The 17,289-nt window shown below is 42.8% G+C and overlaps 1 protein-coding gene across 38 annotated transcripts in view, besides 3 other annotated features; it reads left to right on the top strand.

Annotated features, from left to right (window-relative positions):
• HPS5 (HPS5 biogenesis of lysosomal organelles complex 2 subunit 2) overlaps window positions 1-10,087 on the top strand; it is a 43,505-nt gene extending 33,418 nt beyond the window's left edge. For 18 of the 38 annotated variants that reach the window (NM_001440929.1, NM_181508.2, NM_001440915.1 and 15 more), the window contains 7 exons: window positions 744-864; window positions 1,067-1,222; window positions 2,047-2,166; window positions 3,298-3,411; window positions 4,856-4,962; window positions 6,537-6,807; window positions 8,815-10,081. In NM_001440929.1, coding sequence (NP_001427858.1) covers window positions 744-864; window positions 1,067-1,222; window positions 2,047-2,166; window positions 3,298-3,411; window positions 4,856-4,962; window positions 6,537-6,807; window positions 8,815-8,875 — 950 coding nt within the window. In that variant the 3' untranslated portion in view covers window positions 8,876-10,081. Of the gene's footprint in view, window positions 1-743; window positions 865-1,066; window positions 1,223-2,046; window positions 2,167-3,297; window positions 3,412-3,751; window positions 3,809-4,795; window positions 4,963-6,536; window positions 6,808-8,114; window positions 8,249-8,814 lie in introns of those variants that run through there. The other 20 variants (NM_001440921.1, NM_001440920.1, NM_001440903.1 and 17 more) reach the window with 9 other exon arrangements.
• Window positions 6,005-6,064: an enhancer, noted in NCBI's record as "active region_4494". NCBI's record gives its function as "activates an Ori minimal core promoter by ATAC-STARR-seq in GM12878 lymphoblastoid cells {active_cell/tissue: GM12878}" and the evidence as "EXISTENCE:reporter gene assay evidence [ECO:0000049][PMID:35858748]".
• Window positions 6,105-6,164: an enhancer, noted in NCBI's record as "active region_4493". NCBI's record gives its function as "activates an Ori minimal core promoter by ATAC-STARR-seq in GM12878 lymphoblastoid cells {active_cell/tissue: GM12878}" and the evidence as "EXISTENCE:reporter gene assay evidence [ECO:0000049][PMID:35858748]".
• Window positions 11,044-11,244: a silencer, noted in NCBI's record as "peak1223 fragment used in MPRA reporter construct". NCBI's record gives its function as "represses an SCP1 promoter by STARR-seq MPRAs in K562 erythroleukemia cells {active_cell/tissue: K562}" and the evidence as "EXISTENCE:reporter gene assay evidence [ECO:0000049][PMID:32103011]".

The raw sequence follows: 17,289 nt of genomic DNA, 5'->3' as shown, positions 1-17,289 counted from the left end.
CACACACACACACACACACACAGCCAGGAGTTCAAGGTTGCAGTGATCACCACTGCACTCCAGCCTGGGCAACAGAATGAGACCCTGTTTCTAAAAAACTAAAAAAGAAAACTACTTGGAAAAAAACCCACTTTACTTTAGATTCATACTTTTTTTTTTTAAACCACAAATAGTTTTAGATCATCACTCCTTTCACCAGACTTGATTTTAAGTGACTTTTGGCTATTCCAAAAAGTCAAATCTTCTGTTCTTCAGAGAATGAGTATTTGCTATACTGGTAACTTTAAAAAAAGGTCAAATATTTTAAAATTAATTTCATTGAATTTAATTCTAAAAGATGGAGTAGGAATACTAGTTCTAGAAAAAACTGAGCAACTTGGCATTGATGATAGCTATGTATATTGGTTTTTGATGTGTGCTTATATGGACAGTTGCTATATATAGGCCTAGATACTCATTATTTTAAGAGTAATAGTCACTGATGTATTAATTATATGTTCCTTCGTCTTATTTAAAACTTTTAATATGCTTTGCCTCCCAATTAGATTTTAAGGTTCTTAAAAGTAGAAATTACATCTCTTGTACTTTTATTTGTTTCTCTTGTAATGCTTAATATTGGGCCTTGCACATAATAGGTCCACACAGTAGGTACGTGACTAATGATTGCTGAATGAACATGTTCATAAATTGAATATTTCCGCCTAAGAGATAAAGTTTGGAAAAGGATATGCTTTATATTTCAGAAATGGCAAGTTCCAATCCTGTGTATATGGAGATGGAAAAAGGAGATCTACCAACAAGGTTAAAGTTACTAGATGACGAGGTTCCTTTTGATAGTCCGTTGTTGGTTGTTTATGCTACCCGGTAAGTTGTCCTGTATATTGTTTATATGAGCTAAAGCACATGCATTTTTTTGTGTATTTTAGTCTCTAACATGTTACTCATTTGCATATGAGGCAGCTTCTGTTAGTATATTTATTTTCATTTGTAATAAGTAACCTAAATGTAACCAAGTTATATAATTTCACTGAAATTAGAGACTAAAGTGTTTTGTTTTTAAATGCAGGTTGTATGAAAAGTTTGGGGAGTCTGCTCTTCGATCCTTAATCAAGTTCTTTCCATCCATTTTGCCATCGGATATCATACAACTTTGTCATCATCATCCTGCTGAGTTTTTGGCCTATTTAGACAGTCTGGTGAAATCAAGGCCTGAAGATCAGCGGTGAGAAGGAGAGCATATTTGCAGACTCTCCTTTCTTTTGACAGGGCATTGTTTCTCTTTTATAAGCAGGTGTCACATTGTGTACTGTTAATTACCAAGGGGTTGAGGCACATACTATGGAAGAGGAGGATTTGGGAGGCCTTGTAACATTCTGCCACATGTCACAGCACACATCACAAATGTGCATGTACCACACTTCTTCACTGCCTCTCAGGGATTCTCAGATCAGTGCAAAATTAATCCCTTGATTCAGGGCCTGAACTAAGAAGATAAGCTTCTTATTGTCTTTGCAGTGAGTAGATTCACTGCCACCTTTTTATTGACATAGATCTCAGTTCCAGCTCTTCTCTTTTTAGGCTGATGTCTGATTTTCTGTCTCCCCATGGTTGTAACACTTGTGACCTGTGCCCCTGGCTTATTAGACTAGCGGCTTCCTCCTTTCTTCTTTTGATTGGTTCACATTTGCCACAATGTTGCCCAGGCTGGATGCAGTGGCTATTCACGGGTATGATCATAGCATACTACAGCCTCAAACTTATGGCCTCAGTGATCTTCCTACTCTGGCCACACTGGTTTTTATTTGTCTCTTTCTTTCTCTCTCTCTTTCTCTCCCTTTTTTTTTTTCTTTTTTGGCCCTTTGACATTTTCTTTGTTATCTTGGAGCTTGGTCACCAGCATTTCTAGACATTTTGTAGCAGAAGAGTTTTCAAGTTATTTCTTCTTCTATATTCATCTCTTAATCAGGTTTTCTTCACACTCCCCACATTTTATGCTTCCTTTCTTAGCATGAAGATTGGTGACTTTTTTCCCCAACTTTCTCTTAGGTCATCTTTTCTTGAGTCCCTTCTGCAACCAGAGTCTTTAAGGTTGGATTGGCTGCTTTTGGCAGTGTCCCTTGATGCTCCACCAAGCACCAGCACAATGGATGATGAAGGTTATCCCAGGTACAGAAGAAGTCCTCTTTCTTTGTTTTTTTCTTTACTTTTTTTTTTTGAGACAGGATCTCACTCTGTCGCCTAGGCTGGAATGTGGTGCTAAGATCATGGCTTCCTGCAGCCTTGACCTCCTAGGCTCAGGTGATTAAACCCTTCAACCTTAGCTTCCTGAGTAGCTGGGAAGACAGGAGCACACCACTCTGCCCGGCTAATTTTTTGTACAGATGAGATTTCGCCTTATGGCCCAGGCTGGTCTCGATCTCCTGGGCTCAAGCGATCTACCTGCCTTGGCCTCACAAAGTGCTGGGATTAGAGGCGTGAGCCACTGTGCCTGGCTAGGAGTCTTATTTCTAAGGATTAAGCTCCAGTGTTCCTTTGGAATGGAACTGGTTTATTCACATATGGCATTCTGGGCTCACTTTAGAAATAGCTATGGAAGAGACTGACCCAAGTCATGGTAGTAATGAGATTAAGTATATTTCTTAGTGGTTCTGAAATTTTTTGGGGTCACCCTATAAGAATCTGATGATTCCTTTTAGAAAAATGCAGTCATGCAAAACTTTGCACAGCTGACCGCCTGCAGGTTTTTCATGGGCCCACATTAAGAGACCTTGGTGATTAAGCCTGTGAGAGGATAAAACTGGGTGTGGGGGTTAGGGAGATAGGTATGTATGTGTTTTCTTCCTAAAAATGTGTCAAGGAATTTTTAGACATAACCTGATCTAGGACTTTAAAAATAAAATAAAATTAAAGTACACACTGGTACTTGTGTCAGAACTATTGCTTGCGTTTCCTCCCAGGAGAAGCTTCTTAAAAGACCCCCAAATGCCTGTCTTATATTCCTAGCAAAAAGTCTGGAAGGATATGCAGTGGTTATCTGTGAGTGATGGAATGATAGAATTAAAAGAAGAAAAAAGAATTTATTTCTTTTGCTTTTGATTACCTAAAGTATCTAATCTTTAAAAATAAACAGGTTATAGGAAAAATAGCTATTTTTAAGTTTTCAAAAGCCAAATAGCAATGTTTTTAAAATGTAGTAATAGAATGCAGTTAAACTCTATTCTTACCTATTAGGTGATAAATAAGCATTTTCTAGAGTTTATTTCCTATCTAATTTACTGATTCCTTTTCATTTCATAGGCCTCATTCACACTTGCTTTCCTGGGGTTACAGTCAGCTGATCCTTCATCTAATTAAACTTCCTGCAGATTTTATAACCAAAGAGAAAATGACAGACATCTGCAGGTCTTGTGGGTAAGTGAGAATTTTTTAGAAACTGAAGTTAAGGTTAGAAACATTTCAGTTAACAACTTTATAGTTAAGGGTCTGAATTAATACACATTAATATTTGGGGATTCTCTTTGCTATTTAAAAGTACCTTTTTGTTTTAAGTGATAGTAAATTAAACATCTTTTTTCCATTTAAATTTCTTGCTTTTTTCTTTTTTTTTTTTTTTTAAATAGCCTTAGCTAATTCCCCTCCACTCCCTCTGCTTAGTTGCCAGCCCCAGTTCTCAGGCATGTAGATAGTATTTAATTAAGCACCAGATTATGTGATACCAATTATAATTGATAGACTTTTATAATTAATACAGTAAGAGAGAGATCAAAATGGGCTCAATAGCATCGCTGGTGAAGGACTCAAGGAGGAGGTGAGATTTTGGAGGTAAAACCTAAAACCTGGGTAGGATTTGTATTTATAAAGGAGCCAGGAGAGGGTGAGTTAGGTGAGAGAAACAGAGCAAGGGCGTGGAAAACTGGCATTGCTTATTATCCATGTCACACTTCAGTCAGTTATTTATTGCCTGGTGATACTGGCTTATGGCTCCAACTGGATTATAATCTTTTGGAGATAGCAACTTGTGTCTTTCTTTTCCCTCATAATGTCTATATCTAATTTGTATAGTGGTAGGCACTTGATACATATTTGTTCATTGTAATGAGGGCTGAGTCTGGCCAGGTGGTGGGTGACAAGATCATGCAGGACCTTGAAAGCTGGTAGAATAATTTAGTTATCAGTAGAGACCCTTTTAGACTGAACTACTTGGTGCAAAAATTGTGTAATGAAAGTGGAGCTTTCTAGAGATCATTTCTGATGTCATATATGAGAAGGCTGGAGACAGAAGGCCAGCTAGGAAGCTGTTGGAGTAATTCAGATATGAGTGGATTGGTGATTAGTAGGGCAGCAAAAGGAGCACATCCAGTGGGCATTTCAAAGGAAAATGCAGTGGGACATGCTGATACTGGATATAGCAAATGAAGGAGGGGGAAGAGTCAAGGAAGACTTCCAAGGTTTACATATTTGGAGAAGAAATATGCTAGGTTTGTGTTGAATTTTAAAGTTTATAAATTGAATAAAGCTTAAATGCCTTATAATTGGAGCTTGGCCTCAAATGTCAGCATTTGTTGCTAGGTTTTTTGTTTTTTTTTTTTCCCTAGATCAGGGTCATCTAATAGAACTTTCTGTGATAGTGGAGATATTCTACTGAACTGTCCAATGGTGGCCACTAGCCACATGTAGCCATTGACTACTTGAAATGTGAATATATTAACTGAAAAACTGACTTTCAGATGTTATTTACTTTTAATTAATTTAAATTGAAATAGCCACATGTGACTGTGTCTACTGTTTTGGGCAGCACAGCTCCAGATAAATTCATGGCCTTTTATTCCTTTCTTCAACTTCGGTCTCTTTAAAGTTTCTGGCCTGGATATCTAATTCTCTGTTTGGAGCTGGAGAGAAGAAGAGAGGCCTTCACCAATATTGTGTATCTGAATGATATGAGCCTGATGGAAGGGGACAATGGTATGTCAATCCTAACTGGTTACTCTTGGTTGTCAATTTTTAGAAGTTACTCCAGACCTCTCAACAAAAAAATTTGGTGAACCTTTCAATGATCATATATTTAATATGTGATTCCACTTAGTTGTCACATTTGTGGAGTTTTTGTTTTTGTTTTTGTTTTTTACCTATAGCCCTTGATATGTTATGAAATCACAATTAAGAATAAACTATAGGCAACTTTTCTATTTCATGAGTGCCTACTATGTGTTAGGCACTATACTGTGTGCTTTCCATATGTTGTTTTAAATGAGATAACAAACTCTGGGGATAGTTACTATTATTTCCACTTTCCAGATAACTGAGGTACAGAAGGGACAGTTAATTGGCCCAAAGTCACACAGCTACTAATTGTAAATGCTGGAGCTGGGGTTCAGACCAAGGACTTCCTCCAAAATTTGTGCTTAGGCTCTTTTTTTTTTTTTTTTTTAATTTCCCATTAATTAAAGATGATTCTGGCCAGGCGCGGTGGCTCACGCTTGTAATTCCAGCACTTTCAGAGGCCGAGGTGGGCAGATCACCTGAGGTCGGGAGTTTGAGACCAGCCTGGCCAACATGGTGAAACCCCATCTCTACTAAAAATACAAAAATTAACTGGGCATGGTGGCTTATGCTTGTAATCCCAGCTACTTGAGAGGCTGAGGCAGGAGAATTGCTTGAACCTGGGAGGTGGAGGTTGCAGTGAGCTGAGATCGCACCACTGCACTCCAGCTTGGGCAACAGAGCAAGACTTGGTCTCAAAACAAAAAGGAAAAGAAAAATTCCTTGAATTCGTCAAGTTCTTTCCTGTGTCACATTGTCTTCCATGTTTCCTTTATCAGAAATGCAGGCCCCTTATTTCTGATGGCTCCTACTCCAAGTTTTCACATTATGTGGGCCCCATGCATATGTCCTCTAAGCTTGTCTCATCTTTTAGCTTTCTGCTTCAATGTCACTTCCTCATAGAGCCCTTCTCAGATCTTCCAGGCAGAATCAGCCATTCTCTCTGATGCTTCCTTGTTCTTTTTTTTCATAGTGCTTAGCATACTTTATAAGTATATACTTACGTGTTTAAGTTTTGTCTCCTATACTAGACTGTAGGCTCCACAAGAGTACAGGGATTGTGTCTCTTCTGTTCATCATTACATATCCAGTGCTTAGCATAGGATATGCCCTGGGTAATTACTGAGTGGTTGAAAGAATTCTGAAGCTGCCCAGGTGTGGTAGCTCATGCCTGTAATCCCAGCACTTTGGGAGGCTGCGGTGGGAGGCTTGCTTGAGCTCAGGAGTTTAAGACCAGCCTGGGCAACATGGTAGTGAGACCCTGTCTCTCTTTAAAAAAAAAAAAGAAAAAAATTAAAGTTAATTTTGTGGCTTCTCTTTCTCATGAACAATTTATACAACAAATTTTCAGAAAACAACTTGTGTTAGGGTGATGAGATTGTGTTCTTGAATATTTTTACGTTTTGGCATTAAACATTTTCACAGTTTTGACCATCTCCTGTATCCAGTCAGTGTGCTAAGAGTGGTCAAACTGACACTTCCCTGTGTGTGTTTAGGTTGGATCCCAGAGACCGTGGAGGAATGGAAGCTTCTCCTTCATCTCATACAGAGCAAGAGCACGAGGCCAGCCCCCCAGGAGTCACTAAATGGGAGCCTCAGTGATGGGCCTTCCCCCATCAATGTGGAGAATGTGGCACTTCTGTTAGCTAAGGCCATGGGCCCAGATCGGGCTTGGTCACTGCTACAGGAATGTGGTCTGGCCCTTGAGTTGTCAGAGAAGTTTACCAGAACCTGCGATATCCTGAGGATTGCTGAGAAAAGGCAGAGGTAATATCAGTTTGTCCTACCCTCTGCATAGTGCTTGGAGAAGGTAGAAGGCCACAGACTTTCAGATGTAGATGTGGAGATCATTTAGTCCCGACCCATCACTAACATGAGGAGACTGAGACTGATGTGGTAATTAAGGGAAGAGGCTAAAGTAATATTTCATTCACAGCCATGACCAAGATGCTGTTCAGATTAACCTGAATAATCTGATGTGTCCTTGATTCTTTAAAAATATTACTGGTACCAGGCTGGTCGTGGTGGTTCACGCCTGTAATCCTTGCACTTTGTGAGGCCGAGGTGGGCGGATCATGAGGTCAAGAGATTGAGACCATCCTGGCAACATGGTGAAACCCCATCTCTACTAAAAAAAAAAAGTACAAAAATTAGCTGGGTGTGGTGGCACGTGCCTGTAGTCCCAGCTACTTGGGAGGCTGAGGCAGGAGAATCGCTTGAACTCGGAAGGTGGAGGTTGCAGTGAGCCAAGAACATGACACTGTACTCTAGCCTGGTGACAGAGCGAGACTCCATCTCAAAAACAAAAAAATTACTGGTACCTGGCTGGGTACGGTGGCTTATGCCTGTAATCCCAGTACTTGGGGAGGCTGAGGCAGGTGGATAACCTGAGGTCAGGAGTTCGAGACCAGCCTAACCAATATGGTGAAACCCTGTCTCTACTAAAAAAAAAAAAAAAAAATGCAAAAAAATTAACTGGACATGGTGGCAGACACTTGTAATTCCCAGCTACTCGGGAAGCTGAGGCAGGAGAATCGCTTGAACTCAGCAGGCAGAGATTGCAGTGAGCCAAGATCACGCCATTGCACTCCACCCTGGGCAACAAGAGCAAAACTCTGAAAAAAAAAAAAAAAATTACTGGTACCAGATACCTAATGTCTCAGTAATTTTTTTTTGTGGTATAATACACATAAAATTTATCATCTTAACAATTTAAAAATATTCAGCTCAGTGGTATTAAGTTATTCATATTGTTTTGCATCCAGTCTCTAGAACTTTTTCATTTTGCAAAACTGAAACTCCACACCCATTAAACAGCAACTTACTTCCTCTACCTAGCCCCTGGCAACCACAGTTCTACTTTCTGTTTTTATTAATTTTACTATTCTACATACCTCATCTCAGTGGAATTAATACATTTGTCGTTTTGTGACCAGCCTGTTTTCACTGAGCATAGCATCCTAAAGGTTTATCCATGTTGTAGCATGTGTCAGGATTTCCTTTCTACTTAAGGCTGAATAATATTCCGTTGTATATATATGCCACCTTTTGTTTATCCATTCATCTGTTGACAGACACTTGAATTGCTTCCACTTTCTGGCTATTGTGAATAACGCTGCTATGAATATGAGTATACAAATATGTCTTCCAGACACTGCTTTCAGTTCTTTCGGGTATATACCTGAAAGTGGAATTCTGGAATCATATGGTAATTCTATTTTTAATTTTTTGAGGAACCACCATACTGTTCTGTAGAGACTGCACCATTTTACTTTCCTGCCAGCAGTGCACAAGAGTTCCAATTTCTCCATGTGCTAGCCCCACACTTGTCATTTTCTGTTGTTGTTTTTTGTTAAACAGTAGCTATCCCAGTGGGTGTCAGGTACTATATATCTCATTGTGGTTTTGATTTGCATTTTTCTAATGATTAGAGATGTTGAGCATTTTTTCATATGCTTATTGACCATTTATATAATTGTCTTTGGAGAAATAGCTATTCAAGTCCTTTGCCCATGTTGAATCAGGTTGGGTGTTTTCGTTGTTGTTGCTGTAAGAGTTCTCTGATATTCTGGATATTAACCTCTTATCAGATACATGATTTGCAAATATTTTCTTCCATTCTGTAGGTTGCCTTTTCACTCTGTGCATTGTGTCTTTTAATGCACAGAATCAGTCAACTTTTTGAATCCTCTGAAACTCTGTAGTTTTTAAGTTTTCTGTGAAGAATGAACAATGACAACTAAATTTGCTTGTTTCTTTTCTTTGGGATTTCAGGGCCTTGATACAAAGCATGCTTGAAAAATGCGATCGGTTTCTCTGGTCCCAGCAGGCCTAGTGGGAGAAGATTCAGCAGGATGTCATGACATTTTGAGAAAAACTAAATCATGCTCCTGAACCTTCTGAACGCATTTGTTATTGAAGGAAAGACACCACCCCCAAATCCTGCCATCTTATTGGGGCTACTTTTGTCAGTGTCTGTACCCTTGGCATCGGCATCTGTGACTCTTTATCCATGACCTCAGTGTTTCTTAACCAAAGTTGTACTCAGCATTTCTTAACCAAAGTTGAATTTTGAAAAGAGTCAGTCCTTGTTTGCTGGAATTAGAATGTTAATGTCCTAGTATTATTCCGAACTACAGTATTAACTGCTTGTTGCTAGTGGATTAGACAGATTCTTTTCTTACTGTGGCTTCCATGTTGGGAGCAGAAGCTTTTCATCCTGGTCACATGAAGACAGATGGTATTATTGACTGGAGTTGAATTATTTTTATATCTTGTCTGGCACAATATGGAAATTACTGAAATAAGACGGTGTATAATGGAATTAACACCCAAAATAAGTAGAACACTGAAGATTTGAATTTGATATTTAAGTAAAATGGGACTGGGTGCAGTGGCTCAGGCCTGTAATCCCAACCCTTTGGAAGGTAAAGACGGGAGGATCACTTGAGGCCAGGAGTTCAAGACCAGCCTGGGCAACATAGTGAGAATGCATCTCTACAAAAAATAAAAAAAATTAGCTAGGCATAGTACCTGAGGCCAGGAGGTCCAGGCCGCAATGAGATGTGTTTGTGCCATTGCACACCAGTCTGGGTGACAGAGAAAGACCCTGTCTCAAAAACAAATTAAATAAAATATCTTCATATATAAATTAAGCTAATTAAAAATATTTTTCCCTGTATTTATTTAATATTTTCTAATCTGAACCCATATACAGCTGACTAATTCATTCTTAGAAATGTGTTATCTGTAATCTTTCCTAAACAGAGTAGCCCACAAGAATCATGCACTTTTTAAAATTATTTCTAAGAAGCCATAACAAAGCTGTGTACTAATAAAGACTGCAGCAAGCACTTGTGTTATTTAAATTATGTAAGTAGATTGTCATTTGTCAGGCTCCTGTACATTTACATAGCATGTTATATTAATAATAAATGTAAAATATGACTAAAGTTTTCATTGGAACACAATGTAGACAGGAGGTTTATTATGAGCATTTTGCAGAAAGGTGTGGAGTAAGTAAAGTGTTGGATGCACTGAACAATTCAACTCTTTTTTGCATTTATAACATAACCAGAGAATATGGACACAAATCACTGTTAAACTTACACATTACTCCTAGATATGATGCAACCATATGGGTTAAAGAGATTGTCGGCTGGGCGCGGTGGCTCACGCTTGTAATCTCAGCACTTTGGGAGGCCAAGGCGGGTGGATCACGAGGTCAGGAGATCGAGACCATCCTGGCTAACACGGTGAAACCCCGTCTCTACTAAAAATACAAAAAAATTAGCCTGGCATGATGGCTGGCGCCTGTAGTCCCAGCTACTCGGGAGGCTGAGGCAGGAGAATGGCGTGAACCCGGGAGCCGGAGCTTGCAGTGAGCCAAGATCGTGCCACTGCACTCCAGGTTGGGCGACAGAGTGAGACTCCGTCCCAAAAAAAAAGAGAGATTGTCAGGGAAAGGAGAATTCTTAGAATTCCGGGAAGTATGGAAAACCTTCCCACTAGCATAATTTGCCTTTTGGCCATATTGGATTGTGTTGAAATGTGCATCTATACTGAGATAAGGGTGAGAGCCCCTGTCCACTGTCAGCACAGTCACTACTAGAAGGCCCAGAGGAAGTCCCGTGACAAGCAGACAGCATGAACTGGCACAATTGTGCAATCATTTCTTCACAGACCTTCTCAAGGCACAGCAATTCTCATTTGATAAAGGGTATGGAGAGAAATTTCTAATATAACAAAAACAAATCTTGTCACTTGAATTTATTTTCCGAGGCAAACAAACAAAAATCACCTTCATGACATTAGATGAAAAAAAAAATCTCCTTCAGTTAAACATTTAAACTTGCAGTCTATTTGGGTATTAGTTTTTAAATAGAACTTGTATCTTTCTTTCGCTTCCCTGAAAGTTCTAGGCAGATTGTGATTCATGGTTGCCTCCCTTTTCCCTTTTGTTTACAGATCTGACCGGCTGTTTTACAGGGCATCACAGTGGCTGAGAGCTTGTGTTCTGAGGCTGACTGCCTTGGTTTGAATATCTACTCTCTCTTTTGCTTCATGACTTTGGGAAGTTCCTTTGTTTTTCTAAGTTCTAGTGTTCTCATCTGTAAAATGGGGATGATGGTAGCTCTGATTCAGGGTATTTTGAGGATTAGATGAGATAATAGCACAAAGAAAGAGTTGAGGTGTTAGAGCTCCTTTTTAGTGAGAATTAAAGGAGACGGAAATGGTAGGGCACAGTGCCTGTGATGTAGCGTATAGGTAATAATGTTAGCTATTGTTAGAAAGGTTTGGGATGTCGTTGTTGGACCTGGTAGTTATCAGACCCATAGACATTGGATTTACATGAGCCAGAGACAGTGGGAAGACGAAAATTGAAATTAATAATTTCCTTGCATGTGTTAAATTTGTGATTGCCCTGGTCAAGGCTCAAAACCTTGTAGTAGTCATCCTTGCCTCTTCCTCCTCCTCTACCCTCACTTCTAATGACTAGGTACATTTCTACCTTGCTTTCAATTCTACCTTGCTGGTGTTTTCCATTAGTCATTTTTTTCCCATTGTCTCTTGCCACCAGCTCACGTTCTCATTATTTCTTGCCTAGACTATTGCCACAGTCTTTTTTTTTTTTTTTTTTTTTTGAGACGGAGTTTCGCTCTTGTTGCCCAGGCTGGAGTGCAATGGTGTCATCTCGGCTCACAGCAACCTCCGCCTCCCAGGTTCAAGCGATTCTCCTGCTTCAGCCTCCTGAGTAGCTGGGATTACAGGCATGTGCAACCACACCCAGCTAATTTTGTTGTTGTTTTTATTTATTTATTATTATTTTTAGTAGAGATGGGGTTTCTCCATGTTGGTCAGGCTGGTCTGGAACTCCCAACTTCAGGTGATCCACCTGCCTTGGCCTCCTAAAGTGCTTGGATTACAGGCGTGAGCCACTGCGCCTGGCCCATTACAGCAGACTTAAGTGACCTTCCTCTCTTCACCTCTAACCACTGACATCCCATCACTGCCACCAGTTCATCTCAGCACAATAAATGTAAACAATCTTAGATCTATTAAGAGGTGACAGCGTGCTGGCGACCCTCGCAGCCCTCGCTCACTCTCCGTGCCTCCTCGGCCTCGGCCCCCACTCTGGCGGCACTTGAGGAGCCCTTTAGCTCGCTGCTGCACTGTGGGAGCCCCTTTCTGGGCTGGCCAAGGCTGGAGCCGGCTCCCTCAGCTTGCAGGGCGGTGTGGAGGGAGAGGCGCAGGTGGGAACCGGGGCTGTGCGCGGTGCTTGCGGGCCAGCGCGAGTTCCGGGTGGGCGTGGGCTCAGCGGGCCCCGCATCGGAGCGGCCGGCCGGCCCCACCGGCCCTGGGCAGTGAGGGGCTTAGCACCTGGGCCAGCAGCTGCTGTGCTCAATTTCTCGCTAGGCCTTAGCTGCCTTCCTGTGGGGCAGGGCTCGGGACCTGCAGCCCGCCATGCCTGAGCCTCCCCCCGACTCCGTGGGCTCCTGTGCGGCCCAAGCCTCCCTGACGAGCACCGCCCCCTGCTCCAGGGCGCCCAGTCCCATTGACCACCCAAGGGCTGAGGAGTGCGGGCACATGGCAGGGGACTGGCAGGCAGCTCCACCTGTGGCCCCGGTGCGGGATCCACTGGGTGAAGCCAGCTGGGCTCCTGCGTCTGGTGGGGACTTGGAGAACCTTTATGTCTAGCTGAGGGATTGTAAATACACCAATCGGCACTCTGTATCTAGCTCAAGGTTTGTAAACACACCAATCAGCACCCTGTGTCTAGCTCAGGGTTTGTGAATGCACCAATCGACACTGTATCTAGCTACTCTGGTGGGGACTTGGAGAACCTTTATGTCTAGCTAAGGGACTGTAAATACACCAGTCAGCATTCTGTATCTAGCTAATCTAGTGGGGATGTGGAGAACTTTTGTGTCTAGCTCAGGGATTGTAAATGCACCAATCAGCACCCTGTCAAAACGGACCAATCAGCTCTCTGTAAAATGGACCAATCAGCAGGATGTGGGTGGGGCCAGATAAGAGAATAAAAGCAGGCTGCCTGAACTGGGGTGGCAACCTGCTCAGGTCCCCTTCCACACTGTGGAAGCTTTGTTCTTTTGCTCTTTGCAATAAATCTTGCTGCTGCTCACTTTTTGGGTCCACACTGCCTTTATGAGCTGTAACACTCACTGCGAAGGTCTGCAGTTCACTCCTGAAGCCAGTGAGACCATGAACCCACCGGGAGGGACAGACAACTCCAGACGCTCCACCTTAAGAGCTGTAACACTCACCACGAAGGTCCATAGCTTCACTCCTGAGCCAGGGAGACCACGAACCCACCAGAAAAGAAACTCCGAACACCAGAAGTAACATTCCGGACACCCCACCTTTAAGAACTGTAACACTTAAACACTCACCGAGAGGGTCTGTGGCTTCATTCTTGAAGTCAGTGAGACCAAGAACCCACCAATTCCGGACACACTATTACCCAGTCAGGTGATTCACAAACCTGGCTCCATATCAGAATCACCGCAGGAGCCTGTTAAAAATACAATTGCTGGCCAGGCATGGTGGCTCACACTTGTAATCCCAGCACTTTGGGAGGCCAAGGTGGGCGGATCACCTGAGGTCAGGAGTTCAAGACCAGCCTGGCCAACATAGTGAAACCCTGTCTTTACTAAAATACAATAAAAATTTAGCTGGGCATGGTGGTGGGTTCCTGTAGTCCCGCTACTTGGGAGGCTGAGGCAGGAGAATCGCTTGAACCTGGGAGGTGGAGGTTGCAGTGAGCTGAGATTGCACCACTGCTCTCCAGCCTGGGCCACACAGCGAGACTGTTAAAAAAAAAAATTAGCTGGGCATGGTGGCACACACAGGTAGTCCCAGCTACTCAGGAGGCTGAGACATGAGAATCGCTTGAACCCGGGAGGCAGAGGTTGCAGTGAGCTGAGATCGCACCACGGCACTACAGCCTGGGTGACAGAGTGAGAGTCTGTCTCAAAAAAAAAAAAAAAAATACAATTGGTAGAGACCCTGCCCCAAACCTGAAAACTATAGATCAAGGGACTAATTTATTTTTATTTTTGAGACGGAGTCTCGCTCTGTCACCCAGGCTGGAGTGCAATGACACGATCTCAGCTCACTGCAACCTCCTGGTTTCAAGCGATTCTCCTGCCTCAGCCTACCGAGTAGCTGGGATTACAGGTGTGCACCACCACGCCTGGCTAATTTTTGTATTTTTAGTAAATGTGGGGTTTCATTATGTTGGCCAGGCTGGTCTCCAACTCCTGACCTCAATTAATCTGCTTGCCTGGGCCTCCTGACGTGCTGGGATTACAGGCGTGAGCCACTGTGCCCGGGCTCAATGGACTAATTTAACCTCCCTCAACTTGCCATCGACCCCCACACTGTTCTGAGATTTAGATAGAGTCATCCTCGTGTATAGATGCATCACAGTCCATGAGAAAGATTGTTTATCTTGCTTTCATGGGAAGTTAATTGCAGATGCACTGCCAGGATCTTTGTCTTCTTGGGGCACAGTCATGCCACTTCCCAGTCAGAAACTTTCAACGCCTCCCCTCTGTTTTCAGAGTACAGCCCAAGCCCTTGGGCTTGGCATTTAAGGCCTTCCGTGATCTATTTTCAAACTTTTTCTGTTTCAGAGCCCAAGTTTGTCCCTTGTCCTGGGTCCTCCGTTCCTTGCATACGTTCTGCACTTTGCTCTTTTTGCATATGTTCCTGTTCAATTCTGGCGTGGCTTTTCACCCATTGCCCACCTGCTGAAATTTCCTTAGGATTCTGTCCACCTCACATGGACGTGAGGGCTGTATAATTGTCAGAACCCTGAGCTTATGAGGGCCCCCCACTTGGTTTAATGTTCTGCTTTCACTGTTTTGAAATTCTTAATAATTGATGGACAAGGGTTCCCACATTTTTTTCCCCTGTTTTGGCTTCTCAACAAAGTCCCTACTTATTTTTTATTTTTATTTTTTGCTGTAGTTCCTACAGATTAGGTAGGAGCTCCTGACTGCCACAGTAGATCTAGGGTAGAGCCTGAGATTTTGCATTTCTGACAAGATCCCAGGCGATGCTGATGCCTCTGGTCCTTGGATCACACTTTGAGTAGCAAGGGTCAGTCTGAAGTATGGTAGAGCCAACAACTTGGAAGGAACCTGAAAGACAGTACGGAGCTGAAGTCCCTGGCAGCTGAAATACTCATCACAAACTGTTAGGTGAGACATAAATTTGTATATTCCTTAACATTCTGTATTTTGGAGTATCTTTGTTGAAGCAAGTTAGCCTTACCCTACTAAAGGAAGTGAAGGAGAGCAGGTCTCACAGGTCCTTCTGTCCTTTTCTAATTTGGAAAAAGCCTATGAGGTGTGCAATAGGAACTTGGCTCTGAGTGAGTCAAACACAAGCTCATGCTCCCTGGTTCGCTCCCTCCAGTGCTGGTGGGGGCTGACTGGAATGGCCTTTCTGATCTGAGGGGTTGGAGACTGATTTTGAAAGAAGTCCTCTTAGACTTCTATCCCAGACCATGCAGTGCAGCCCAACTTACCAGAGTTCTGCTTTGAAGTTTGGGGCCAAACCCCAACCAACAATAGAGTGCTGGTCATTGTCCTCAGAACTTATCTCCATTGGGGACCTTGTGGGTTTGATTGGGCATAAGATTCATATATTCCTTGTATCCCCTAACCATAAAGGCCATCATATTACCCTCATTTTACCGCAGCCTCTAACAAAGTACCTATATTGTAAGAAAACAAAAACAAGTTATTTCAAGCAAAAGATTATGTAGTGTGTTACAATCTTGTTGCTAGGAATGTCACCATGTCCCTAAACCTATTAAAGCCCCATAGCATCCCTAAATTCCTTCAGTGTCTTGTGGAGCACTGTGCTCCAAATCATGTTCCCCCTGGGAGTGGCATCTGTGTGGGATCACAAGGGTTATGGCAGGTTTCATTAGTCCATGGTGGTTTACATTTCTCTGTCTCTCCCAGTCGCCCTGCCTCTTTCCCCATCTTGGCTACCCAGTATAGTTTCTTCTTGTCTCTTTTATTCTTAGTCTAAGATCCAGTCCATTCCTTTGTTCCCAAGTGAACTTGCTGTGTCCAGACCTTACTTTCAAAAAGCAAAGCTTTGCACTGTGTATCAGATGCAGCCTGTCAACTACTTCAGACCTGTTGGCCCACTCCCCTTTCTCCAGCCACTGCTACAGTGATGGGTTCCACCATAGGCTTTAATTCATTTCACACAGGTACAACCTGGCAGCACCTTGCTTTGGGTCTGCTCCGTGGACCTTCTACTTCCTACTCCAGGTAAACCCACTGGACACTCTTGTGTGCATAGCCAACAAATGCAGAAAAGTTAACAATGGTGGGGCCACCTTTGACCAAAGGGAGATGGAAGCCAGTTGCTAGGTGCCTTTCAGTTTGGACTGCTGATGGAGAGCACTGAGACACTTTTTATGATGTTCCTCTGAAGGTCCCAGTGGCATCAGTTATGTGGCTCTTATGCATGGCCAGCTGTATAATGTGTCCCTGTATTGGCCTTGCTCTTCCCTGTTTTACTCCACTGTCTCACTCCTGCTCCCCGTGTTCATTCCCCAAATAAAATACCTACACACAAGACTTTGTTTCCGCTTTCTTTTCAGGAGAACCCATGCTAAGAATTGTGGAAAGGTGGCGGAGGTGGGAAGCGGGTGCAGTGGGGAGAGTCTGCTATTCTTTGAGGCTTTATCACCTAGACTTAGTCTGTTATCTGAGTGTGTATTAGGTAAGAAACAGTAGTTAACCAGTCATCATTGCAGGCTGGGTCTTCTCTCCCCACACGACTTGCTTCCTTTTCCTCCCACTCTGATGTCCTCCACATCTGTTCAGCGGAGCTCCCTGACCCTACCTGCAGATGCAGCACAACTTATGGCTTGGTATAGGAACTACTGAAGGATCCTCAACCTCTAATCTCTAGGCAAGCCTCCAACTACACTCTGGGGTACTAGGGAGAGTGGCACATCCACACTTAACTCAATAGCGAGAGACCCAAAGGCGTTGCTTCTGATCAAGGAACTAATTTTACAAAAAATGAAGTATAACGGGGTCCCATGCTTATGGAATTCACTGCTCTTACCATGTTCCCTATCTTCCTGAAGAAGAGAGGAGGTCTCCACTGCTGAATCTCTTGGCCTTGTTCAGTGTATCACAGGTTCTGGAGTCAGACAAACCAGCCTGCAGTCTTGGCTCTGCACCTGTTACA

Source organism: Homo sapiens, chromosome 11 (assembly GCF_000001405.40).
Source record: "Homo sapiens chromosome 11, GRCh38.p14 Primary Assembly".
Taxonomy (NCBI): domain Eukaryota; kingdom Metazoa; phylum Chordata; class Mammalia; order Primates; family Hominidae; genus Homo; species Homo sapiens.
This window is presented reverse-complemented; position numbering and strand designations above follow the sequence as displayed.